Below are 26,386 nucleotides of genomic sequence, written 5' to 3' on the forward strand. Positions count from 1 at the left end.
AGCTCACTGCAACCTCCACCTCCCGGGTTCAAATGATTCTCCTGCCTCAGCCTCCTGAGTAGCTGGGACTATAGGCACATGGCACCACAGCCAGCTAATTTTTGTATTTTTAGTAGAGACGGGGTTTCACCATGTTGGCCAGGATAGTCTCGATCTCCTGACCTCGTGATCTGCCTGCCTTGGTCTGCCAAAGTGCTGGGATTACAGGCGTGAGCCATCGCGCCTGGCCATGATACAGTTTTCTATAGAGAGGGAAAAAATAGAGAGGGAGTTTTCTATGGAAAGGAAATCACTAATTACCCCTTAAATTCTATTCATGTCTCCTATAGACGTACAAGAATGCATTGCTATATGGGTCTATATACCTAGGCAATAATATTCCTAGGAGAGCAATAGCATGGAACTAAGGAATTTGAAGATTTTACATAGTTGGCATTGATTGAATGTAACATTGCCTGAGCACATCAGACTTATAATTTAATCTTTATCCTTTTTCTTTTGACTGATATAGCCTTGCTTTTTCATCTATCATTATGGAACACTAGCCCTCTCACTTTTGCTGTCCATATGCAGAATCAACTTTCTTCTATTCTAATTTAAGGCAGATACATTATATAGGCATATATGGGTATTGAAGGAAACAATGTGAAGAGGATTAATTAGAAATATATTCTCTTTAAGATATTTGGGGTGAAATAATAAAATCTATATATTCTTAAACATGTGTTGGTAAAACTTGAAAGACACACTGGTTAAAAGTATATTAAGTTAAATATCTGGGAATCTGTAATTCAGACTATGTCTCTGATCTATATGGATGTTTACATTATTAGTTCACTAATGGCATTGTAGGCCTTCTCAGAATTTGGAATAAAGAACTCTGAGCCCATTGCCTTCTATACTGGTAACTGACATTCTGTATCTCAGTCTTGGTTCATGTCTACCCGTCTTACCAATAGGTGTTCCCACTCCGTAACCTTTGGAGTCAATGAGGCCCCCGATCTGAGTGAGGTTGCAGTTTCTCTGCGTCACATACTCAATGCTGGTGGACTCCATCAGCAGCGCGTAGTCTGTGGTGAGCACTCTCTGGATCCCCTCATCACTGTTTCTTACCAGGGCGGTCTGCTGCCTGCTGCTCATGAAAGCCCACATCTTCTCATAGGTGGAGATTTTTGATTTCTGGAGGGAAAGAAAACACACTCACCAGCAGAAGAGGGCTGGAAAAATACGACCTAAAGGTATTCAAAGTCCCAATGGTTCAAATAATGATAGGGAGGATACTTTCTCCACAGGTGGGGGAGTCAAGATTGATGATCTCAAGGCTTCACTTTTGTAGCTGAGAAGAGCCCAGTTCACTCACTATTGGACAGCATTTGCACGGAGGCAGCTATTACATGGAGACCTTGATCTATAAGCCATTGTGGCCCACTGGGCTAAGGGGTGACTAGCTCACTCCAGGACTCTGTTCATTTCATGCATTTTCCTTTCAATCACTCAACTCCAGCAGGTATTGTTTTGCTGTTTCCAGGTGTATAAGTTTCAATCCTTGATCTAGCATTCTTCTGCTGGGGAGAGCCCTGGAGTAAACCACTGACTTCCTCTGCTTTATTTGTGAGAGAACTGTCATTCACTCTTCTCTTTTCTAGAAAACCCAGAATGTAAATGCTCTTTTCAAATTAAAATTTAGATAAGAAAAATCTTCAGCCAGGCCTGGTGGCTCACACCTGTAATCCCAGCACTTTGGGAGGCCGAGGTGGGCAGATCACATAAAGGTTAGGAGTTCGAGACCAGCTTGACCAACATGGTGAAACCCTGTCTCTACTGAAAAAATACAATTAGCCAGGTGTCGTGGCATGTGCCTGTAATCCCAGCTACTCAGGAGGCTGAGGCAGGAGAATCGCTTGAACCCGGGAGGTGGAGGTTGCAGTGAGCCAAGATCGTGCCATTGCACTTCAGCTTGGGCAAAAACAGCGAGACTCTGTCTCAAAAAAAAAAAGAAGAAAAATCTTCATACTGTATTTATATGCCTTTTTATGTGTATAATTTTAATTGTAATCATATTTTAGATAATGGGGACTGAATATCTCATTTCAAAGTGTTCTATTAATATATTTGTCTTTTCTCATATTCTTCAGCTTTTTGATAGATTCAGTAATAAATTATATATGTTATGTAATATATGCACATATACATATGTACCACTGCTTCATTATCTTTTTTTGCTAAAGTATACTGCCTAAATTTTCATATTACTTAAATATGAATTTTCCATTCTTTTGAATAGTGATCTATGATTAGACATTTTGCATTTTACTCTGTAATTTCCATACAGTTCCAATTTTTTTTTTTAATTTTTCTTCATTTGCATCAGCATTCTCCACTTATTTCAGAGATGAAAAACATTATGGGAATTATTGGTATTTTTAAGCTAACCCCAGTTATCACAGTTATATATAGTGCTCGCACACATTAGACAAATCCCTTGGCAGGCACAGGATGCACCATCTCCGTAGTTCAGGAAAGCTTAAAACATGGTTTTGGGCCATAAGCAAAAAATGGAATACCTGCGGAGTCAACTCTATCACGGTTATTCATGCCCAGGTGTTCCTGGGGGCCACTCAATTCCAACCTCTATTTAGGACCTGGGTTAATACTGTAGGGTTTATGAGTTAGGGGAGGACAGATGGCTTTATTTCAGATTGTTAGGCATTGAAAATCCCCCTGAGAAAGGTCTTGTGAGACAAATAACAATTCAATAAACAGTACCTTATAGATATTGGTATTTTGTGGAACCCATTGTGTCATATTGGGCCCCTGTGAGTTATGCCACAGCCCCGGAGATATCTGCAAGCTGCAGCTCATGTCCCCATAACAAAGGCGTGTTTTGGGGGTCAGGTTTACTGCTTCATTTGTTGTGTGATTTCAGCCTTGCAAAGTCTGATAATGCTAAACTTATAGTAAAAGAGCTACTCATACAAGCGCAGAAAGGTCAGTCTATCTTGTGGCAGTAAATGCACAGCTGCGAAAATTATTCTTCCATCAGGAAACTACCTTAAGGGAAAATAATTTTCTTTGAAGTATAAAATTTAAAGTTGTCAGAGACTTTAGAGATCGGCTCATACAAACTGCTACTGTCACAGAGGAGGAAGTTTTAGTACGGAAGGCTTTGAGACTTCAAAAAGTCACAAAGCAAGTTAATACCAGAGCTAATTCTGGACTCCAGCACACCTAATATCTAATTCAATGCTCTTTCCACTGTACCATGCTGATTTGGGGGAGGTGGATGTCTATATTGCCAAAATGCTTTTGAGAATGATTTTAATCTCATTTGATCTACATGTGAAAATATAGCTTTTATTCATGGACTCATTATTCCCTGAGGTGGGTTGCTAGTTAGTTACATATTAATATGAAATAGGAATCAACCTTCACATAGAAAAATTTTATGAAACATTAAATTTTTTCACCACATTTATTTATTTATTTATTTTTTTTGAGACGGAGTCTCGCTCTGTCGCCCAGGCTGGAGTGCAGTGGCGCAATCTCGGCTCACTGCAAGCTCCGCCTCCCGGGTTCACGCCATTCTCCTGCCTCAGCCTCCCAAGTAGCTGGGACTACAGGCGCCCGCCACTACACCCGGCTAATTTTTTGTATTTTTAGTAGAGACGGGGTTTCACCGTTTTAGCCGGGATGGTCTCGATCTCCTGACCTCGTGATCCGCCCGCCTCGGCCTCCCAAAGTGCTGGGATTACAGGCGTGAGCCACCGCGCCCGGCCGCACCACATTTATATTTTATTAAAACGAGTGTTGTAAATTGTTAGAAAACTGAATTTGTGGTTTATGGAAGTCAAAAACAAAGTCAATGTTTAGTTCATCCACGGTAAATGGAGAAAGTGTGGGGAGTCCTTCATTTCATCTGGGGAATTGAAGGATATGGGAAAGGATGACACGATTCAACTCTAAACCTAAACTATCTGAAGTGAAGGACTTCATTATTTTCAATCTATGGCAGACCTAGCTTTGGTCCTCCTGCATGGGACGAATATGTAGGTCATACCACCTGTGACTCACTCTGTGAGTATTCAACAGTATGCAGGTGGTCTAATCCACGGGTAAGAGAGGTCATGAGTTTAGTGCAACCTCAGTATTCAACAGCTGCAACATTTCTAAACGCTTACTCTCAGTATTCTTCTCCTTGTCACAGCTTAGTAACAAAATGTTTCCTGAGCCAGCACACTCTTCACACTACACTTTGAGTAGCATGGCTCTATGGAACAGAGATAATGGATTTAAATTCAACAACATCCACATCTTCCTTCTTGGAGTAGAAGGTTGTTCTAGGCCTGACCTCTCCCAGGGAGCTACAGGGGAAGTCTAGTTGGCATGGACACCTTTGAGCAGGGAGGGCAGAACTTTCTCTCTGACAGAAAACTGTTACTTGGTAGGGGACTTGGTAAGTTGAAGGTATAGGAAGTGTTATAAATTCCTTTGACCCCTTGCTATTCTCACTAGAGCACAGTAATAGTAAACATAATGGGAGCAAGAAGAGCAGCATTTTGCTGTTATTTAGAGCTCTCTTTCGTCGTTTAAAAAGTTTGCTGTTGTGGGGCTTTATTGTGTTTCACAGTTAGAGTTCTAGGCTACTTGGGATGCTAGGGAAATTAGAGTTTGCAGGAAGACCCAAAATGTGGCTAAGGAATAACTTTTTTTAATAGGTAGAAATATCTGCAGACAGCTTCAGCACCTTAAAGGTGTAGTGAGCTTTCTTTTTTATTTTTTGAGACGTTGTTTCACTCTTGTTCCCCAGGTTAGAGTGCAATGGCACGATCTCGGCTCACTACAACCTCTGACTCGTGGGTTCAAATGATTCTCCGGCCTCAGCCTCCTGAGTAGCTGGGATTACAGGCACCTGCTACCATGCCCAGCTAATTTTTTGTATTTTTAGTAAAGACAGGGTTTCACCATGTTGGCCAGGCTGGTCTCGAACTGCTGACCTCATGTGATCCACCTGCCTCGGCCTCCCAAAGTGCTGGGATTATAGGCATGAGCCACCATGCCCAGCCGGTATAGTGAGTTTTCTATCACTAGGCAACTGCAAGGAGTATGTCATGCTTAGACGAGTTTCACATAAGGAGATGCTTCAACCACCACGTTCTACTCTCTAGACCAACCCCTTCCTATCACATATGCAGGTCCTGAGGTCAGGGACAGCAAATGACACACAGAAGGTGGCAGAGGGTTAGTGGAAGAGACAGCACAGAATTGAGGGCTCTTTCTTCTTTACTGCAGAGTTCTGTCCGCTGCATGCCACGCTCAGTAATGTTTATTTTTTGTTAGATAAAAAAGTAGAATGTTGGGAGTAAATTACATGTATTCCTTTCAGCAGACTTTTTTTCATGGTTGAGTCTCAAATCTTAGTAATTCTTAAAAATAGGATTATACTTCATGAAAAATTATCATACATATTAAAAGACCAGGCAAAGTGTTAAAATGACAGCCTGGGTGTTTTTGTACTTCTAAATCACATATAATGTCAACCAGTCTCCTAAATCACTCTAAATAATATATGTTCCAAAAACAGAAATAGTGGTTGCCTCTTATTTCACTAGATATGTCAAAAGTTAATTAGAATATTTGGAATGTCTTCTGAGCTTCTTAGCAAAAGTTGCTAAAACTGAAAAAGCCTCATTTATTAAATCTGAAATCACCCAGGATTTTTTCTTTTTAATCCTGAGAGGCATCTGTTTAGATAAATGCATTTTATCTGTTTAAATCTGATTATGTGGCTATCCTCATGCTGATGAAACATTGTTGGCAAAGAATAGCATTTTTCATCTCAAATCTGTTATAAGGGAGTGTTACTGCATCAATGTTTGATGAACATTATTTATTTCTTTTTTCCCCCTATAATACATTCAAGTTAAACACTCACTGGGAAATAGTTTATAATGTTTGCAGGCATTAAAAATTACTTATTGAAAATAGTAACAGCAACCAACATATGCAGTGTTTATTTACTGTGTAGCAAGCACTATTTTAAGAACTTTGCATATATTGATTAATCGAATCTTCACGGTAATCATATGAAAGACGTACCATTATTATTTCTCTTTTATAGATGAGGAAATAGAACAGCACATGAAGAAATGAGGAAACCAGGATTTGATCCCAGTAATCTGGTTCCAGGGTCTGTGTTCTTAAACAACAGGGAATGAACTATCTCTTAATACACAGAGCAGCAAACTCAAGGCTTGGCTAATGTTTCCACAGCTAATGTTTCCACAGAATTAACAAATTTTCTAAAGAAATAATCGAAACAAGTAGCTGTGGGATCTTTCTATTATAGCCAGAGCTGTTGTACTCATCATATAATGTACAGAAACTATTTACCTGACTTTTAATAGCTTACACTTGTTTAGACAAGAATTTAGACAGTGTTTTAGGAAGTGCAACAGTTAGAACCTGGAAAAAATGTGACTTGTTTATATTGTTTCCTTTCCTTTAACAGTATTTTGCTTTTCATATAGTTTCACTGTTTTTAGTTACAGGATTTCCATCACACAATGTAAATAAAATATGTGCAAATTCTAGGGTGTAGTGTGGTCTTAAGCCTGATGGACTCCATTTTATAAAATATCCCTCTAATGTTTCTTTTTTATTGAGATAACTATTATTTATCACATTATTTCTTCCACCAGTTTTTATAAGACTTTCACAGTTAGGATGTATAATCTCATTTTTCAGTAGAATCAGTAATCATGCAATTCTACTTCACACTAATATGGCTGATGATTTTATATATCGATCTGTGTTTATGTATGTTTTTACTCTACACACTGAAATATACATTAGAAATAAGTTATTGATATTTGATCTTTTTATCTTATCAAAAGTGATCTTATAAATGTAAATATATGCATATAGAACAAATGAAATATCACAAACAATTATATTTTAAGATCTCCAATTTAATTTTACTTTAGGCAAATCCTGATTTAAGACAACCCTTAAAAATTAACCAAAGACATAGACATTGGCTATGTAGAACTTCATACTTGCGAAATAGGTACATCAGAGGTGAATAGTTGCCTTAAAAACAACCATTTCTTTTAGACATGATTAATATATTATTTCATTAAATAATAAATTCTCATGCTATTTTGAAAATATGATTTAATTTACAAAAATCGCTTTGAAGGAAGATGATCAGAAGAAAATATTTATAGTATAGTTAGGACCTCTGCCTTCCAAATGTGTATAATATGAACACTGCAGTTGATTATGTCTTTATCTTGATTTGATGAAAAGTTATGACATTTGCAGACTCTCCAACATTTAAAAAATTTATGGATTCCCTTTAGAAAATTCCCTCAGCGGGATTTAAACAGATTTGCTAAAATATTTTTCATGTTTTTCTCCTGTCTAGAGTTAAAGATTGGTCTATTACAGGCAATCTTCCAGCCTTTGAAAAAGGTTGAATTGACCTCATAGATTTCTTCCCAAACAAATACACTTTTAACCTACAGAGACCTAACATTTCTGACACTGATGGTAAAATTAGCTGGATTTTTCCAACATAAGCTAGGAACTCTTATGTGAAGAGTGCCTTCCTATGCAGAGTATTTGAGAAATGGCTTTCATCTTCTGCTTCCTGAAATGGTTATAACTGTCTGAAATCTGTCTCCCTACAATGGCTCATTGCTTCATTTCCACTGGTGCAGTGCCCAGTAACTTCTCTGAAATGTCTTTTGGGTTGGTGACAGCACCTAACCACTCCCTGGAAAGAGATGATAAAGGTTAGAGAATCCCTTGTTCCCACAGCTGGTCCAAAGTCCCTAGACCATGAAAGCCAGAAATGACAAGTCTTTTATGATGTTTTAAAACCTATTTTATCCAAGTCATTTTAGACTGAATCACAATTTAATCTGTGTAATCCTCTGGCTTGAGTCTGGGAGGATAGTGATTTGTTACAAGGCAAGCTTCTACTGAGAAGTATTTCTTACATGAATACTTCATAGCTAATTTGGCTCACAAGAAATTCTGCCACTACTTCCTGTCTGCACAATGCAACCACATGTTGTGTTGTATTTAACAGGTATTCATACCTCTTGTCTCTGTATTGCTATTCAGATCTTCATGTCTTGCTCATGATTTTATACCTTTTTCCCTCTTAAGTGCTAACCTCAGTACTGACCATATTGAGGACCCTGCAAAAATATCAATTGAGCTGAATTAAACTGAATTAAACTGAATTGCCTCACTCTGTTTCTTGTCTGCATTCTAAGGGCAGCCTTACCATCTTTTGCCTACCTACCATCTGGTAAGTGCTTCGGCATATGCAATGTATGTGCTCAAGAAGGGCCTCCAAGGCCTAGGGTTGCTGTCTGGCCAGGCCTCCAAAAATCTTTGAGATCTTGGGCACTGACACTTCTTCTGGACTTTTCTGTCCTTTAGCAGAAGGCAGACACTGCAGAGATGACTGACAGTAAGGAAGCTGAACAGAGACCAAACCAAAATATTTATAAATCTAGAGAGACTGAAAAAATAGGACTAATAGCTAGAGGTAAGGGTTGAATAATTATGGTGATGATGTTATAAGTGATAGTTACAATAATATCTAATGTTTTTATTGCTTACAGTGTACTAAGTGGTAGTATAAACATATTACCTCTACTAAGTCATTAAATCCTCAAAATAATTTTGAGTTAGAAGTCATCCTCAATTTATAGACTGGGAAATCAAGGTACAGAGAGTTTAAGTTACTTGCCAAGGTCTACATAACTTATATGTAGTAGAACCCAGGCTCTCTGGGTCCAGATCTCCAACAAAAACACTTTCCTGTAGGTTTTACTTTATATCCCAGCATAAGATGTTGGTCATATTTCTTGAGAAGAAGACTAGCTGGTATTCCCATTCTCTGATCCATGGGCTAAAAGCATTATCCTCCTTGGATGATGGTTCACAAGGATCATTGGGAAATCCATTCTTTTAGGCTGCATACGGTTCTTAGACATTATCATGACTATTCTTTCTTCATCTGGGGAAAAAAAATGTGACTTTCTACACTATCACTGTGAGACCACAGTTTGGACTATCTTATTGTTTCATAAGGTAATTAATAGAATTCCAACAAGAAGAACAGAGCCGTTGTACATTTCTGACTTCCTGTGGGAGAGAAAACCAGAATCTTAGCATACTATTTCTGAAAGGAAAAGTTGGAATTGGCTGTCATTGTTGTCATCTTGTCAGTTGTCTTGGATATAAAAGATGGAAATAGGTCATGTAGCCCCTAGGAAAGCTGAATGCAAGTTGTGTCCATAGAGCTTGGCTATGAACTGACTGATCTTTGCATCTCCTAAGATGCTGGTGGTGGTCCCAGGGAGTTGGGAGCGAAGGAAATCCTGTACTGTTCAGACTTGAGAAACAATTGAAAGGACCAAATAATTTCATCAGCAGAGAACAGAGAAACCAATAGAGTTAAATCTGGATTATTAATTAGTATTATGTCAAGCAGAAATGAGAGGGATTTTATTAAAAATTCTCTTAAATAGTCTGGGCATGGTGGCTCACGCCTGTAATCCCAGTACTTTTGGAGGCCGAAGCCGGTGGATTACAAGGTCAGGAGTTCAAGACAAGCCTGTTCAACATGGTGAAACCCTGTCTCTACTAAAAATAAAAAAATATAGCTGGGCGTGGTGGCAGGCGCCTGTAATCCCAGCTACTCAGGAGGCTGAGGCAGGAGAATCATTTGAACCTGGGAGGCGGAGGTCACAGTGAGCCAAGATCGCACCATTGCACTCCAGCATGGGCGACAGGGTGAGACTCCATCTCAAAAAAAAAAAAAAATTCTCTTAAATAGAGTCTGTTGAAGTTCTGAATTATTAATACACTGACCCATAAACATAGGCCATTAATTAATTTGATGCCGATCGCCTCATATTCAGAGAAGAATTTCCCAAAACATCTCCAACAGTACCTGAACACTTGATAAATGTTCTGCCTCCCTTTAACCTTGGCCAGCTAATTGGTCTTGGGGTGCCTGAGACCCTTTGACCAAATAGGCTATTGTATTTCCCATAGTGATTGAACTGTAAGTTCCAGAGTGTTGATGATCTTGTGACAACATAAGCCTTAATAAGCATCATTAGCTGAGTGATCGAAACTTAGAGTTGCTTTTTTTTTTTTTGATGGACAAAGTGAGGTAGAATCTCAGGATGTCCATTAAAGTTTCACAAGAATATGTGGAATTGAATTTATGATTTAATCCTATTCTCTTGTGTAAATACAGTCCTTGATGAGCAATGTTGCTCCATATATGAATGACCCTGAAGGAAAACTGCCACTGCCTCCCCGTCTCAGTCACGTCTTAGCTTGAGCTAGCATTTGTTTAAAAAATTTCCACTGGGCGCAGTGGCTCATGCCAGTAATACCAGCGCTTTGGGAGGCTGAGGCGGGTGGATCACGAGGTCAGTTCAAGACCAGCCTGGCTGAGATGGTGAAACACCCTGTCTCTACTAAAAACACACACACACAAAATATTAACTGGGCATGGTGGCGGGTGCCTGTTATCCCAGCTACTCAGGAGGCTGAGGCAGAGAATTGCTTGAACTCAGGAGGCAGAGGTTGCAGTGAGCCAAGATCACGCCATTGTACTACAGCCTGGGCGACAGAGCAAGACTCCATTAAAAAAAAAAGAAAAAAAAAATTCCACTTAGTTCCCTCAGCCTTATATGAGCTCAGGTGGTAGATAGTGGAATCTCACCTGAGCTATTTTAAAAAACTAAATTTTGGTTTTCTTCTTGTTGAGAACCAAATACATCAGATCTAAAATGTAGAGTGTCATGCTGTCTGCAAGAATAGCCAAGTCTAGGAGAAAAAGTCAACGGATTTTGAATGAAATTTTAGCGAGCAACTTCTGGGCACACATTTCAAGGACAAACTTCACTAAGCACATCCCTTGCTTGTGGCCTAGCGACCAAATGTGAGGCATTCGAGTATTTTGTTTGATCATGGATCTTGAAAATGTCTGAATCCCTTTCCTCCCTGCAACTGGCCATTCTTTGGCTATAAAATGATTTTAAATCAACTTGAAAGTAAAAAGACCAGTTTTTATCATTTGGGTACTGCCAGAGGAATACTGCTTTTCTGAGAAGAAAAACACTTGAAATTACACTGTTTGTGATGAGAAAACGTTTCTCATTAGAAGTTTCCTTGTGATTGAGTGGAGACAGGACCCATCTTAGCAAATGACTTGTGCTCCAAAAACTGATCAGGATGCTCCAGGTTAGATTAGGCAAAGGTAGTTTCCTTATTCATTCTACAGCTCAAGAGAGGTTATTGTCTTTAACTGACAGAGAAAGGGCTGGAGGAGGGAGACCCTGATGGCACAGCAGAGGTGAAACATGTTCATGTGGAGCCAGGTCAGGACTGAGTCCTTGTGACTGTACCTGCTGTCACTCAGTGATTTAGGGCGGAACTACCCCGAGAGCAAAAAAGCCGAAACTTTTCTTTCCCTTGTGGAATAATCCAGCTTAAGAACCTGAGTGTACATCCCTCTGACGCTTTCTGACAGCTTACCATCCTCGAGGGGAAAACTAAATCGGATTTAGTCCTTGTTCTCCTTCTGCAAATACATTTCTTCTCGGTAAACTGGGTTGCTGGGCCACAAGCTAGCTTGTAAAATGAGGAACTTGGCAACAGTGTCTCTTCTTGTGTGGGTCCCTATGTATCCATCCACCTCTCTCCCTCCCTCTTTCCCTCTCGGCTTCCTTCCTTTGCTCCTTCATTCACTCTCCCTCCCTCTCTCTGATAGAAATCCACCTCTCCCAGAGTTTACTTTTTCACTTATTGAAAACATAGTTTTCTGAATGCCTACTATACGGCTGGGCACTCTTTTAGATTCTGGTGACTTAATGTCATACAAAGAAGACCGAGTTTCTACTCTCATGGAACTGACTTTCTAGAACTCTCTGAATTTTGCTGAATCTTGGCTCTTCCATTGCTAGCTTTGTAACTTTGGGGTAAATTATCTAGCCTGTCTGTGCCTCATTTTCCTCATTAATAGGGATAATATTGGTATTTAGCTCAATTGGTCTTTTTTTTTTCTTCTTCTTTTTTGAGACGGAGTTTTGCTCTTGTTGCCCAGGCTGGAATGCAATGGTGCGATCTCGGCTCACTGCAACCTCAGCCTCCCTGGTTCAAGCAATTCCCCTGCCTCAGCCTCCCGAGTAGCTGGGATTACAGGCATGTGCCACCACGCCGGGCTAATATTTTTGTATTTTTAGTAGGGACGGGGTTTCTCCATGTTGGTCAGGCTGGTCTTGAACTCCTGACCTCAGGTGATCCACCAGCCTCGGCCTCCCAAAGTGCTGGGATTGCAGGTGTGAGCCACAGCGCCTGGTGCTCAACTGGTCTTTTTTAAAGATAAAATGAGGTAACACAGGTAAGGGCTAGTGCACAGGGCGTACTGCTATTTTTATTGATGCTGTTTGTACTATCATCACATTCTTCCTCTCTGAGGTGCTTATTGTTTCATCATTTTCCTGGTGACCTGAGAGAATGCTTGCATTGATGCCTCATTTTCAGGACCAGGGAGAAAGCAGGAGCCTTCTCAGAAAATGCTCAGGGAGCAGCAGTTGTGAACATAGCATGTACCTGTTCAGTGGAAGTGCATTATCCAAACATGTCGTAATGTAGTCATTCAGGGTCCTGCCAGGAAAAAGGAGAACCCGCTCTTTTTATACTTAAAGAGGGGCATGAGAAAGAAAAGATCAAAGTGAGCTTAAGGGGCTGGGCGCAGTGGCTCACACCTGTAATTCCAGCACTTTGGGAGGCCGAGACAGGTGGATCACTTGAGGTCAGGAGTTTGAGACAGAAAAGATCAAAGTGAACTTAAGGGGCCGGGCGCAGTGGCTCACGCCTGTAATTCCAGCACTTTGGGAGGCCGAGACAGGTGGATCACTTGAGGTCAGGAGTTTGAGACCAGCCTGGCCAACATGGTGAAACCCCAACTCTATTAAAATAAAAAAATTAGCCAGGCATGGTAGCATGCACCTGTAATCCCAGCTACTCGGGGGGCTGAGGCAGGAGAATCGCTTGAACCCGGGAGGAGGAGGTTGCAGTGAGCCAAGACTGCGCCACTGCACTCCACCCAGCCTGGGCGACAGAGCAAGACTCCGTCTGGAAAAAAAAAAAAAAAAAAAGTGACACTTTGTCATTTAAAGGACACTTTGTAAATCTGGGTTGAGCATCTCTATTCTGAAAAATCCCAAATCTGAAACTTTTTGAGCACTGACATGTTGTCCCATGTGGAAAGTTCCACACTTGACCTCATGGCATGGGTTGCAGTCAAAACTTTTTTCATGTACGAAATTATTTAAAATACTGTATAAACTTACCTTTAGGCTATATGCATAAGGTATATATGATGAATAAATAAATTTTGTTTAGACTTGGGTCCCATCCCCAGGTTTTCTCATTATGTATGTGCAAACATTCTAAAACCTGAAAATATCCAAAATTCTAAAAACATCTGGTCTGAAACATTTCAGATAAGGGATCCACAGCCTGTGCATAGATCCTGTGTACAGTGGCAAAGTCAGGTCTATTGCTTTTTCAAAGAACGGCACAGCCTCTTTCCCTTACATTTGTGCTGAACATCTTGAAGGAAGTAGAATCTTCTCTGCCTTCTGCTAGCCCATTTCCCAGTACTTTAAAACTCTTTGATATTGCTGAATGAGATAAATCATTTCAGATATTTTTTCAGATATACCAAATTCTATCTTGCCAGTGCCCCTCTGTCCTGTGAGCCTTGCAAGTGACCTTCCTTGTTTCTGACAAGGACCATGATGAATCACTAGCTTGGGGTATCTTGTGTCTCTTCACACTATTGATTTTAGGAAAATACTTTCTGCAGCTTGCAAAGCCGTAATGTCATTTGTCTTTAGAACATCACTGTCCAAAGAAGAAACAATCACCATGCTTTACACATACATTAAATAAATGATACACTTCTTTTTTTTTTTTTTTTTTTTTTGAGACGGAGTCTCGCTCTGTGGCCCAGGCGGGAGTGCAGTGGCGCAATCTCGGCTCACTGCAAGCTCCGCCTCCCGGGTTCACGCCATTCTCCTGCCTCAGCCTCCCGAGTAGCTGGGACTACAGGCGCCCGCCATCACGCCCGGCTAATATTTTTGTATTTTTTTTTTTAGTAGAGACGGGGTTTCACCGTGTTAGCCAGGATGGTCTCGATCTCCTGACCTCGTGATCCGCCCGCCTCGGCCTCCCAAAGTGCTGGGATTACAAGCGTGAGCCACCGCGCCCGGCCTAAATAAATGATACACTTCTTAAAATAAAAAGTGTTTAAAAATCTTTTTTAACACAGAAGAAAAGTAAGTCCTACTTTTTCCATTACTTTGCTTCTTGATAAAACTCTAGATATAGTTAACTTTTAAAACAATACCTTTTTATTTATTATTGTTATTAAACATTATAACTTATTGTATAGTTAATTCCTATTTTTGTGAACCAATAGTGTTATACAAAGAAATGTGTACTTTTTTTTCCTAACCTTAGTTTTTGTTTCTAAGCTGGTATTTTTCACAAGTCAAACAGTCCACTCAAAAAATAATAGACATTGGAGACTCAGAAGGGTGGGAGGGTGGCAGGGCTGACAGATGAGAAATTACTTAATTGGTACAACGTATGTTATTTGGGTGATGGAAACCCTAAAAGCCCTATATCCATCTAACAAAATGCAACTTATACCTCCTAAATCTATAAACAATGTTTAAAAAGGAAATAAGAATGAAAGAAGAAAAAGAGTTCATTTTGAACTCAATGGAAATAATAGAAAGGAAAAGATTATTTAAAAAAAAATACCCCTGGCTGAGCGTAGTGGCTCACGCTTGCAATTCCAGGACTTTGGGAGGCTGAGGCAGGCAGATCACAAGGTCAGGAGTTCAAGACCAGCCTGGCCAATATGGTGAAACCCTGTCTCTACTAAAAATACAAAAATTAGCCAGGTGTGGTGGCAGGCACCTGTCGTCCCAGCTACTTGGGAGGCTGAGGCAGGAGAATCATTTGAACCCGGAGGGTGGAGGTTGCAGCGAGCCAAGATCGCGCCACTGGACTCCAGCCTGGGCGACAGAGCGAGACTCCATCTCAAAACAAAAAACAAAACAAAAAAACAGCTGCCCCCCAAAAGAAACAAACAAACAAAAAACCCCAAACAGTCCACTCAATGCTGAGGTGACAACTCCATTTTTGGTAATCTGAATATGAATCTTTGACAAGGGTGTTTTTAGAGATTATTTTGTTTACAACTGTTGTTTTCCTTTTATTCACATGCACATTTACCACCATTAATACTTTTTTTTTTCCCAAAAAAAACTTTAGCCCCTTCTCTGTTATAGACTAGGTATTTGACTTGGAGCAGGTAATTTAGCTTCTGAAGGTTTTGTTCTTTTCATAAGTAGAGTGAAGAGTTGAACTTCATGATCTTTACACCTATTGGATCTATTAAAATCTATTTTTCACTGGAATTAGAGTATTTGAGATTTGATAATAAAAGTACTAAGGCTTCCTCCAAAAGCGAGGCAGAAATCAGTTTCATTACTATGGGTAAGTAATTAAAAAGACCTCAACAATGAAATGCCCTTGACACTAAAACTAAACTCATCCAACTTAATTCTCCTGCGGTGCCTCCGAAGACATTTTGAAAAGCTTCAGGCATGGCTGGGAACACTGTCCTTCATCAATGCGGACTCAGTATTAGACCAGAGTCTCCTGGGATTTTTTTGTTCTTAATTCTCTAACTAAATTCCAATATCAACACGTTTTCTTGTCATCTGTTTCTATCTCATCAAGTACAGGACCGAAAGAACAAAATAATGATATTCAAGTATTCTGGTTACCAGAATTCTTGATTAAGGAACCTTTATTTTATGGGTTCTATAAATGAGTGATTAATTAATGAGTGGTTAGATTGTATTCAGATTTTTTTTTTCTGGTGTAAAGGCAAGAGAGGATATTGAAGATATTGATCTATGGATCTGAGTACACTAAATTGGGGTGGAGTAAATGACACCTAGTTGGGGACCAAAGAAACTGCTTTATGCTGACTGGGGCTTCAAGGATTCCTTATAATGGGATTATGTAATTATAAATTTTATTTCATTAAAAAAATTACCCAACATCTTTTTTTCTTTTTTCTTTTTCTTTTTTTTTTCGACAGATTCTTTTATACTCTACCACAAGTATCAGATAATCACTGAGAACACTTTGTCAGCTTCTTACCTTGAAGAAGGTCATTGTTGATCCATCTCTAACCGCCCCATATTCTATCTTGGTTTGCTTTGCCAGATCATCTGCCGAATCTATGGGGGATTCCATTCTCTCTACTGTCAAGAAGGCAGCCAGATTGGCCGTGTAGGATGAAATGATGATTAGGGTGAAAAACCACCATATCCCTCCAACTATTCTGGTCGATAGAGCTTTGGGCATCAGCTCTGATCCTGTGATGGTATCATCAGAGTAAGGGTGTTAAACACAGTCAGAAGGAAAGGGAAGATGTACAGTTCGACACTATTCTAGGAAGATCAACCTGTAAAAGACTTACCGTCTTGTAGGTAGATGAAATAAATGCATTTTATAGAAAATGGAGCAAAATCTTAAGGATTATTTTCAAATCATTAATCACTACTATTGCTTTAACTATAATTTATCAGTAGCTGATGGTATTAAAACAGTTTTAACCTGGAGGCATTCCATGTCTAAAATTTAGTTAGTTTAGTTGCTTAGAATTGAAAAGTCAACCCCAAGACTTTTTGCCTTTTATTACTGTCTAAATGCATCTTATAGTGTGAAGTAAAATATTCTGCGTCTTTGTATAACTATGAAAATATTTGAAATGCTAACATTTTTATTTAAGGTTAAAGAATGAGAGCTACTTGTAAAATATTAACATGCCATTTATCACATATACTTTAATAAAACATTGGGATTTTACAAATAAAATAAGATGCAGCCATACTTGACAGTGGATGAATTAGTTTTTATTGTCTTATGTTACCTTAAAAGCTACAATTCTTTTTTCTACTGTAGATTTTTATTTGGCTAAAAAAACACATTCTCTGCAACGCATAATTTTGTACTTCAATAAAATGCTGTTTCTTAACTACACTTCAAAGACAGGCTGTTCCTTAGGTGAAAGAAGACTTTCCTGGTAAGAATATACATTTTAGATGTCATTCAGATGATTTGAAATTATGTTTAAATGATAAAATAGAGGCACTTAATGTGTTTTCCAAGGAAACCTTCCTCTCTAAAAGAAAGGGTTTATGAGCTAAGTTTACTGTCATAAAAGACAAACATCTTGAAAACGGTCTAGTTCAATTTTGCTCAAACTCAGCAGCAGAATTAGAATAAATGAGAAGTACAATTAGAGTTCACTCCAGTTGTACTGATTCACAAGTGGATTTTGGCTTGTTCATCTGCCTGAAATTTGCCATTGGTTCTGTACTTAGCATATCCTCCATGAACCTGAAGGCATGACAGAGTTTATCTGACCAGATAAAAAGTGAAAGAAAAACACCCTAAATTAAAAATCCCGAAGAGTGAAGTACAGTAGGTCAGCTGTCTGGTCTATAGGATCCCTTTACTATACTGATAGGGTGTGTTGAAGCTCTGTCGTTAATAATGGCTTAAGATGGAAAGGAAAATTGGAGTTCACCAGTCTACCAATAAATGAATTTGTGCTAAGGTTTAATCTATAAACAGATGCAAATACGGCTCAGGAAATCACAGCCAGCTCAAGGCCAGTGATAATCAGATCAAGGTCGCCAGAGTTTCTGGGCTTTGAATTAACGGATATATTCTCCTAATGCTATTACGTATCTTTGTGTTTTATTCCCTTTTAATGAGGGAAATGGTTTGACAGCGATTTGTGTTTCCTTCTGTCGTTTGTTTGAATTTGAGTGGGTAATATTACACAGACTTATAATAGTTTTCCATTAAATTGCCTCCAAGGATTTAGTGGAATGGTTTGCTGCTGTTGTTTTAATATTGTGGTTTAATGGGATTTATATGCCTGTGGGTGTGTGTGTGTTTAATGCCCAAGGTTGTTTCATATCTTTGTACTTAATTGATCTAGCAGTCTTGTGGCAATGTAATATTATTTTAGCTCTTTAGTTGGTTATCATTAAAATACCATTTATTTCATAAAATAGCCATAGGAAATAAATAACAATTAATAGATATATTTTTCTTAGCTTATGGGTGCAGATTTTCTGCTGTAAATTTATTCTTTCATTATTTGGTTGCATATGAAAACATAAGGTTTTCACTTATTTGTATATTTGTATAATTATGTATTATATGGCATTAAGAGTGGACAGACAGGTGAACAACAGGCTGTTGACATGTAATAATACTAATTCACATCTTTCACACTTTAGAATGCATATTTAAACTTTTGGATAAAGTTACCTTAGAAACTTAATAAAAATGTTAATAGAAACGTATTGAGATTACATTTTAAACCCTTGTTAGATGGCATCAATTAGACTTCTCAATGTTTCTTCATGTTTTCTATTTTTATCTAATTTTTGTGAATTTTGTAATTCTCCATGTTAGTTAGAATTATTTAGAAATGGCTTCTTTCAAGTAGAGATGATTTGTGTAAGTTTAGTACTCTAGAGGATGAAATTATACAAACATTAAAAGTTGAGTAAAACATTACTAGAAAATATTTGGGATGAGAGACAATACTTGCTGAAGTCTCTTTAGTGCCTTTTACGGCAGACATGACAGCCAATCCTGATCCAGACTTTGCTCACGCTCTGTAGAAAAGAGAAAGTCTGATCATCACATTTAAAAAAAATTCAACAAAATGTTTTCCAATTGAGTACAGTGACAAGCTTCTGCTAACAAGAGAGAGCAACAGAGGATAACTACCTGGTTCAACGCCACGTGCTAGAGACAGATGCACTAACAGTCACAAGTACCTCAAGTTTGTATCTGGAAAGATTTGTTGCACCTGACAAATGTTTGTAAACTTCTTGAATGACAAGCAGAGTCTGGTTGGGGCTGACTGTCATGTACCCAAGGTAGTGGTAACTAACAGACACTGCATCCCACAGTGTGCTGTGGATGATGGTAAACTCCAAACAGGTAAAAGATGAAAGATAAATTCCGGGGGTGGGTGCACTCAATGACAGAAGGCAGTCACAGTCATATACCTGCACAGGCCAGCTGCATGCATGCTCTGTGAAACCTAAAAGTATATATATGTGTGTGTGTATATATATATATATATGTGTGTATATATATGTATATATATGTATATATATGTGTATATATGTATATATGTGTATATATGTATATATGTATATATATATGTGTATATATATGTATATGTGTGTGTATATATATGTGTGTATATATACATATATACACATATACACACATATATATACATATATATATACACATACATATATATATATATGTATATATTTTCTAATGTCAGAGAAGACAAGCTATAGGGAAGGAGCAGGGGTCTCCTTCACTCTGAAAGTAATTGCTCACAAGATAAATATCCTAAAAATTAAATACATGGGTAAAGTAGTATATGGGGTTTCCTGCAGGATTTATACCTCTGTGCTATGCTCTAAATTTATGCAAATTACTTCTAGTAAATCAGATGGCATCTATACTTATTTAGCAGTGCCCACACAAACCATACTTAATTGCGTAACTAGGATTTTCCCACTTTCTTCAACTATTTACTATTTCAGTATTATAATTTGGTATTTCCACAGTCTCTCTCTCTCTAATTTGAAGATCCAAAAGATAAATATTTCAAGTGTTATAGCAATTCCCTAATGAGAAACCTTAGGGTTCACCCCCAAGTAGCAAACATGTTTAATGTATATCCCAGTGGAATTTTCCTTTGCCAATGTATTTTGCAGCTTATTGTCAAATGAACATATATTCCGAACACAACAGTTTCTGTGACTTATGATTTTCTTATATTAGTGCATTTAATCCTGGAAAAATTTTCTATACCATATGCCTGACATTGAAGCTGAAAAAAAAAATCACAAAAGAAATGGAGTTCTTCCAAAGGTTAAAATAGCTCCCCCTTCCCCCACTACAAAAGCAGAATCCCCGAATTCATAGGAAATGTATAAAATATATTACATTTCTATGGCCAAATTTTATTTCCCCAACTCCTACAGTTTATTGTTGCTATGGTTACCAATTGAGGGAGATTGTGAAAAGTTACTGGGAGGCTGAAATGAATCTCAGTAGGGTTTGCCAGAGTAGTAATTAGGTGGAAGTCCTAGGTAAGGTTGGCAATTGGAAGAATCTCAGTGAATTTAATCTCCAAAGGATTTAGATCCCGCTCCTTTAAACTGCTGACTCGTGGAGTTATGGCTGAGAAGGAGAAGACCAACATCTCCATCTATGCAAATTTGTAAACGATTTCTAAGGTACCTTATCTTTTGCTACCCACAGGAAAATTTGTATTTATTGCTTGATAGAAGTGCTATTTTAGATATATAGCAAGGGAGTTCCATATAGGTCATTGGTTTTGCTTCATCTTCAAAACCGGCTAGAAAGTCCGTTGCTATTTTCTTAAGTTCCTGAGATGGTGTTTCATCCTACCCTCTAGCTTCATGGTGGAGTTTACCAGCATGAAAGCCTGTCAGCACACTGTGGGATGCGTGTGACAAAGATAGGCAACCGGTGTACCTTGCTGCATGAGAGCTCCAACTCCAAACCAGAAACTATTTAGTAAAGTAAAATTGTTTTCCACCACGTCTGAGTCAGGGTTGCATGGGTGGGGGTTATACCACTCGTAGGGTGTAAACCTGTGGTAGTTAACAGAAACAGTCTGTAAATATCAGAGAAACACACAGGACACCAGCAAAACCAAAACCTGCTGAGCAATGCAGAAAACCCAACAATTAATCACAAAAGCTTCAAACCAAAAGAGTAAAGGCCATAGTCATAAACTTACAGCTTTGGTGGGCAAAGTGCAAAGAGCCTTGAGACGTTAATATTTACCAGACTTCTTATTTATAGGCAAATTGGTCAGCTGGAATTGTACTCCTCAGCTCTATGTCTACTGAATTCTTCTGAGTTTTCATTCATTTCCATATTACTGAACAACTAGATGAACTGTAAAGAAAGGTTCACTCATCCCAAGTATTTACCCCACCAAGTAGCGACGAATGTGACACACACTTGTTGCATAGTAACTACAATGTCAAGATATTGTGTCGTTAGGTCCTGTGGGAGACACAAAAAAGAGGGGTGACTTGCCTTCAAGGGGTTTGTATGGACAGATGGTTAGAAGGAGTCTAAGTGGTGGTCTAGCGATTTTGTAATGCATGAAAGGGATTGCAAGGCTGAACAAATTAGTGAACAAAATGTAGAGCTGAATTTGGAGTGTATTAGATGTTTTTCGAATAGTCCACGGGGAAAAATCATGATCCTAAAGGAAGAGACAAGGCATACATTTGGAATTATACTGGTCCAGGCCTAGTGGTACACATTAGTATTAACTACATAGCATGCCTCACTGCAGAATTTCAAATTCATAATTTCCTTTTGATTTGTTTTAAATTTGTTTTCAGAACCATGGCCTGTGGTCACTTAATCAGCAACCCTGGTTCGGTAAGTGGTATGTTTTCTATAGCATTATTATAGGTCTACCTGCAAGGTGGTGCGCTATGGGCAGTAAACGTTTCTGGAAAAACAACTAGTATAGTAGTGTGGGAAGTCGACTTTGAAAAATTCACTCAACCTCTATTGCCTCAATTTCCTTATTTGTGAAGAGGAGGGAATCCAGATATCTCTGAGGGTGTACTTAAAATAAAAATCTGTGGAACCAAATATATTTTTTGTTCTTTCTCTATTTTTTTAAGCATCTGTCTGACCTATGTAGCCCAAAGGAGGTCTCTGCTCTGTGGTTACTTTTGAGGACTATCTTGCCAAGTGGTACTTATTTTTCCAAAAAGACATTAGCAGAAGCTCAACGAAGTGATCTGCAAATAATTTAAAATGCAGTAATTTTTAGCACTGGAAGATTAGCCATTTGCCATTGGGTCTTTTCAATGCAAGCAGGAGTGTTAGAGTAATGTTAAAAACACCATAAAGCCCATGAGAACACAGAGAATGCTCTCCAGCCATACAGTTTCAGCAGTAAACAATGGCGGGTTGCTGACACACTGGGGAGAACCGGGCTTGAGGTGAATACATTATCTATATGAAAAGCAGGGCATGCTGTGAATCCAGCACAAGGAAATGAGCAGACAATTCCTCCTCATGAAAAACCATTTTCTAAACCTCCAGACACCTTCCGGAAAGTGTTCAGTGCCTCCTCATTGAGTCTTAGGGGGACTGGGATAACAGTCTCGTAGTTTATGCCAGCATAATGGAATCCGACTCATTACTGCAGCTTCTCCACAGCTGCAGGGTACACCATGCAGGTTCCTATGAAGCTGATGAATATAGCTTTAATTGACAATGCCATGCCAACACATTTTAATTAATGTTTCAACAATATAATTAAGTTTTGAATTTGCACACTCTTATAGCCATAGTAGTTTGCTGAGCTGAAGAAATGAATACCAATATTAATGAACCTATTAATGGAAACAGCATGCAGAGTAAAGATCCCGTTACTTAAACACTATCATTGTCACTTGTACAATAATTTAAAAATATTAATTGAAATAAATTAAGAGCCTAATGTATTCAAGAGAAGGGGTTTTATTTTTTCAAACAGACCGTAAGACTTGGCAACCACCAGCCCCCTTCAATATTCTGACATTTCTCTCCCAGATATGCTCCCATCGATGAGCTCATCACTTCCCTCTTTGGAATGCTGCTTTTAACTTGGTCTTGTTTCATACTTTGCACTTATAAGAGAGCAATTAATCTAATTTTTGTGTGGCAAAAAGAAAAACTGTCTAAACAGCAATGTGATTCTGCCTGCTCTGCAGAGATATTTTAGGTCTTTCTCTCTGGGATTCTGAGTGATTTGTGGAGCATGTGGTCTGGTGAATATTAAACAGTGACATGATGCTGTGCTGTAAGACACTGGCTTTTTATAAGGCAATAGACCTACCTGTTGCCTGGATGTAGACATTTCAGCTTAGAATTCCTAACACCTGCTTAAAGATAGCCAGTGTGACAGCAGTGTCAGTATTAGGAAGTCTGGTGAAAAGATTAATATATGACCTACACCAAAGATAATCCGAAACTGCTATCCCCAAATGACTCTCAAGAAATCAATACTCATCTTTACTAATATGATAGAGAAGGGAAGAAACATGCTTAAAACCTGTGACAAAACTTGCATATAGAAGAGTAGCCTTATGTTGAAATGTGAAAGTTCACTTTGGGTTTATGTTTGTTTCTGCCTGGCTTACACTTGAAGATATAAAACAAGCTCACACTGAAGTTTTCTAATTAAGGGACTAATTTTTGTGGCTGAGAATGCACAGTAGGCTGCATTGAGGAGAGAAAAATCCATTCATCTTTCAAGGGAGAATGCTCTATTGAACTTGTAATATAATGGTGGGGTTTGTATTGTAACCATAGAATTTACTTTCAAGGGTTTTCTAGATTTTTTTTTGCCAAATGCCAACTTTAAAAATGTCCATTTTTAAGAAGACGAACATAAATGATAAAATGTAAGCAGACATTCTATCTGGATATTTGATCTATTTAAATTGTTTATGATGGACATAATTTATTGAAGTTAAATATTTTTCAAAAAGTGGAAACATTGTCAACCACAAAACAAAAACCCTGACATACACACTTAATTAAAAGTCATAGTAATTAAATATTGTTTTCCTTAGTTTGTCCCACCGATGTCTACATCTTTATAAATTTAATTCAGTTCAACAAATAATTTTTAGGCATCTATCTAGTGAAGGCATTTGCTTAAATGCAGTGATGGGGCTTTATTTTTCCCCTTTAAAAGAACATAAGAGAATACAATTCACAACATAAATTCCAAAGTCTCTCTAGAGCTATAGATAATTATGAAATTTACTGTTTTTCATGTCCACTTCCCTAACTTGGAATGCAAACCACTAAGGTGGTAACTGAGGGTACAGAGTGACGGAGTTCATGGTCTCAAACTATGATGGTAGGAAGTAAAGGTGACTTGGTACATCTACTCAACCAGAATTTTGTTTTTGGGAATCAAGTCTAAATATATATTTAGTGGCTTTATGAAGCAGAAGCAGGGATGGATTCTAAGGTGTAGAGAAGGTAAATGTAGTTGAAAGTAGAATCTTCATGACAGTACACTTGTGCCCTGGAGGGAGTTATTTTCTGTATTTCGTCACTATACTGTTTCCAAGTTTGCACTGGATGTATAACACCTCCACGTGTGAACCAAGACAAGGGCAAGAAGGCAGTGGAAGAGGAGACAAGAAGAATAAGCTAAATAAGGGAGGACTGGCTTATAAATGATACTCTCGGTGAGTAGAACTACTGAATGGATTGCATTGATGGTGGTAGTGGGGGTACTGTTATCTTAATAGAAATAAACTGAATGAAGTCCAAAAATATGGAGGTCTGGGTCACCAAGAGCTTATGGAAGAATAGACAAAGAGGGGAAAACTATTGAATGGCGTGCCATTCTGACATACTCTGATGACATACATAAGGAGATTTAAGCGCACAGTTGGAGTTAAGTGTAAAGGGTACTTTCAGCCTGTGTGCTTGTGAGAACTTTTGGATGCTGCTGGCGTTTCTTCTCCTACTGGCTTTGGTCAAGTCATGTAATAAACAATGTATTTGCTCATCAACCTCACCTTGCCTGTTCTACTCATCAACATCACTGCCTAGACAGAGCCTCAGACTGCAAAATATGGAAACTCACTTTTGCCCTGCGAAATATGGAAACTACTGTTGCCCTGGGCTGCATGAATTGCTCCATCAGTCCTAGTATCACCCAACAGGTGTGGGCCTCCGGGCAGAGGTATGCAACAAGTAAACACAAGATTACTTATTAGAAGGTGCTTCACCTTAGGATAGTCATTTATTAAATGACCATTCCGAGGCAATATTAACTTCACTGAGGAGTCACTAATGAAAAATACCTCCAAAGGTAAACAATTTATTTTTAAAAATTTTATACCCAAAGCAATATCTTCTTTAATTGTTTCGAGCATGGTTTCTCAACCTTGGTGCTATTGACATTTTGGAGTGAATAATTCTTTTGGGGGGTACCTGTCCTGTACACCATAAGATGTTTGGCAGCATCCCTGGACTCCGTCCACTTGATACCAATAGCACTCCCTACTACCGGCCATGACAACTAAAAAAATGTTTGTAGACATTTCCAAATGTTCCCTGGGGGACAAAATCCCTCCTGGTTGAGAACCACTGATTTAGAGTATTAAAATACAAAGGATAATATCACTATATACATACTGTCAATATTTTATTTTCTGAAGTAAGGCATATTTAAAGAGAGCTTTGGTCAGTAAAAGTATAAAATCTGAGCTTTGGTAAGGGTACAGTTTATAAGGCCTAGAGAACATCAAAACATTCATTTCATATTGAATGTATAAATACCCACATGTGAGAGCACATGTTGATTCAGTTTGAGTATGTCTGCCTTGTGGATCTTTAAAACCTTTCCAGCCTGTGTTATTTTCCCAAGCTTTCTTTATAATTACACCAGGGAAAGAGTTACCTGGCATTAATCAAAACCAGACAGTGGACAATGACAAAGAGCTAGCATGAAGAAATATTTCTCTTAGAAATTCCTGGAGGGAAAACAAAAATTGATTAGGGAAAAAGTTCACTGAGTTTTGTTGAAAGGTGAAAAAGATTGAAAACAAGTAGGGACATACAAAAGCAATTATTTTTTACATGGTTTATCTAGGGACAGCAAATGTTTAAGCCAACAGAAAGATAAAATAACTGTTTCAAATTTAGCATCAAAAGTATTCAGAATATATGATCTATTGAAAGGTATAAAAATCCTTTAAGGAACTGTGTAGAGCAAAATGGTTAAATACAGAGTTAAATCTCGAAAAGTAAAACCTCAATTGAATCATCTTAATGATAGCACAAAGGTTTCATGCCTCCAGGCTCTGTATGTAAGCAATCTTTCCTTTCAGCATTATTTCTAGAATTCTCTTTAACTTTCTCATGCCTTTAAAAATAAATTTAATAGAACTTTTAAAGTATTTTTCTTCATTCCTAAGGGTTTCACAATCTTTTTACTCCACTGTTTTTTATTTGCTATGATAATTCTTTGCTGACTTTTTTATGTTTTGCTTATCCAAATATTCTAGGGGTCAAATATCTTGAGACCATTTTACAATTCCTATGGAAACATTTTACA

General features: G+C 38.3%; 1 protein-coding gene and 1 long non-coding RNA gene across 13 annotated transcripts in view, besides 1 other annotated feature; one reads left to right on the plus strand and one right to left on the minus strand.

Annotated features, from left to right (window-relative positions):
• The window catches only part of GRIK1 (glutamate ionotropic receptor kainate type subunit 1), a 403,064-nt gene that overhangs the window by 23,738 nt on the left and 352,940 nt on the right, over positions 1-26,386 (minus strand). For 11 of the 12 annotated variants that reach the window (NM_001320621.2, NM_001320618.2, NM_175611.3 and 8 more), the window contains 3 exons: positions 20,755-20,873; positions 16,294-16,511; positions 954-1,179 (listed from right to left, as the gene is read on the minus strand). In NM_001320621.2, coding sequence (NP_001307550.1) covers positions 954-1,179; positions 16,294-16,511; positions 20,755-20,873 — 563 coding nt within the window. Of the gene's footprint in view, positions 1-953; positions 1,180-16,227; positions 16,512-20,754; positions 20,874-26,386 lie in introns of those variants that run through there. The other variant, XM_047440744.1, reaches the window with a different exon arrangement.
• Positions 980-16,659, plus strand: LOC105372768 (uncharacterized). The gene is made up of 3 exons (XR_937647.3): positions 980-1,075; positions 1,163-1,238; positions 16,360-16,659. It is a non-coding gene; the product is annotated as an uncharacterized LOC105372768 (long non-coding RNA).
• Positions 13,485-13,685: a silencer, noted in NCBI's record as "peak4397 fragment used in MPRA reporter construct". NCBI's record gives its function as "represses an SCP1 promoter by STARR-seq MPRAs in K562 erythroleukemia cells {active_cell/tissue: K562}" and the evidence as "EXISTENCE:reporter gene assay evidence [ECO:0000049][PMID:32103011]".

The sequence above is a fragment of the Homo sapiens genome, chromosome 21, assembly GCF_000001405.40.
Source record: "Homo sapiens chromosome 21, GRCh38.p14 Primary Assembly".
NCBI lineage: Eukaryota > Metazoa > Chordata > Mammalia > Primates > Hominidae > Homo > Homo sapiens.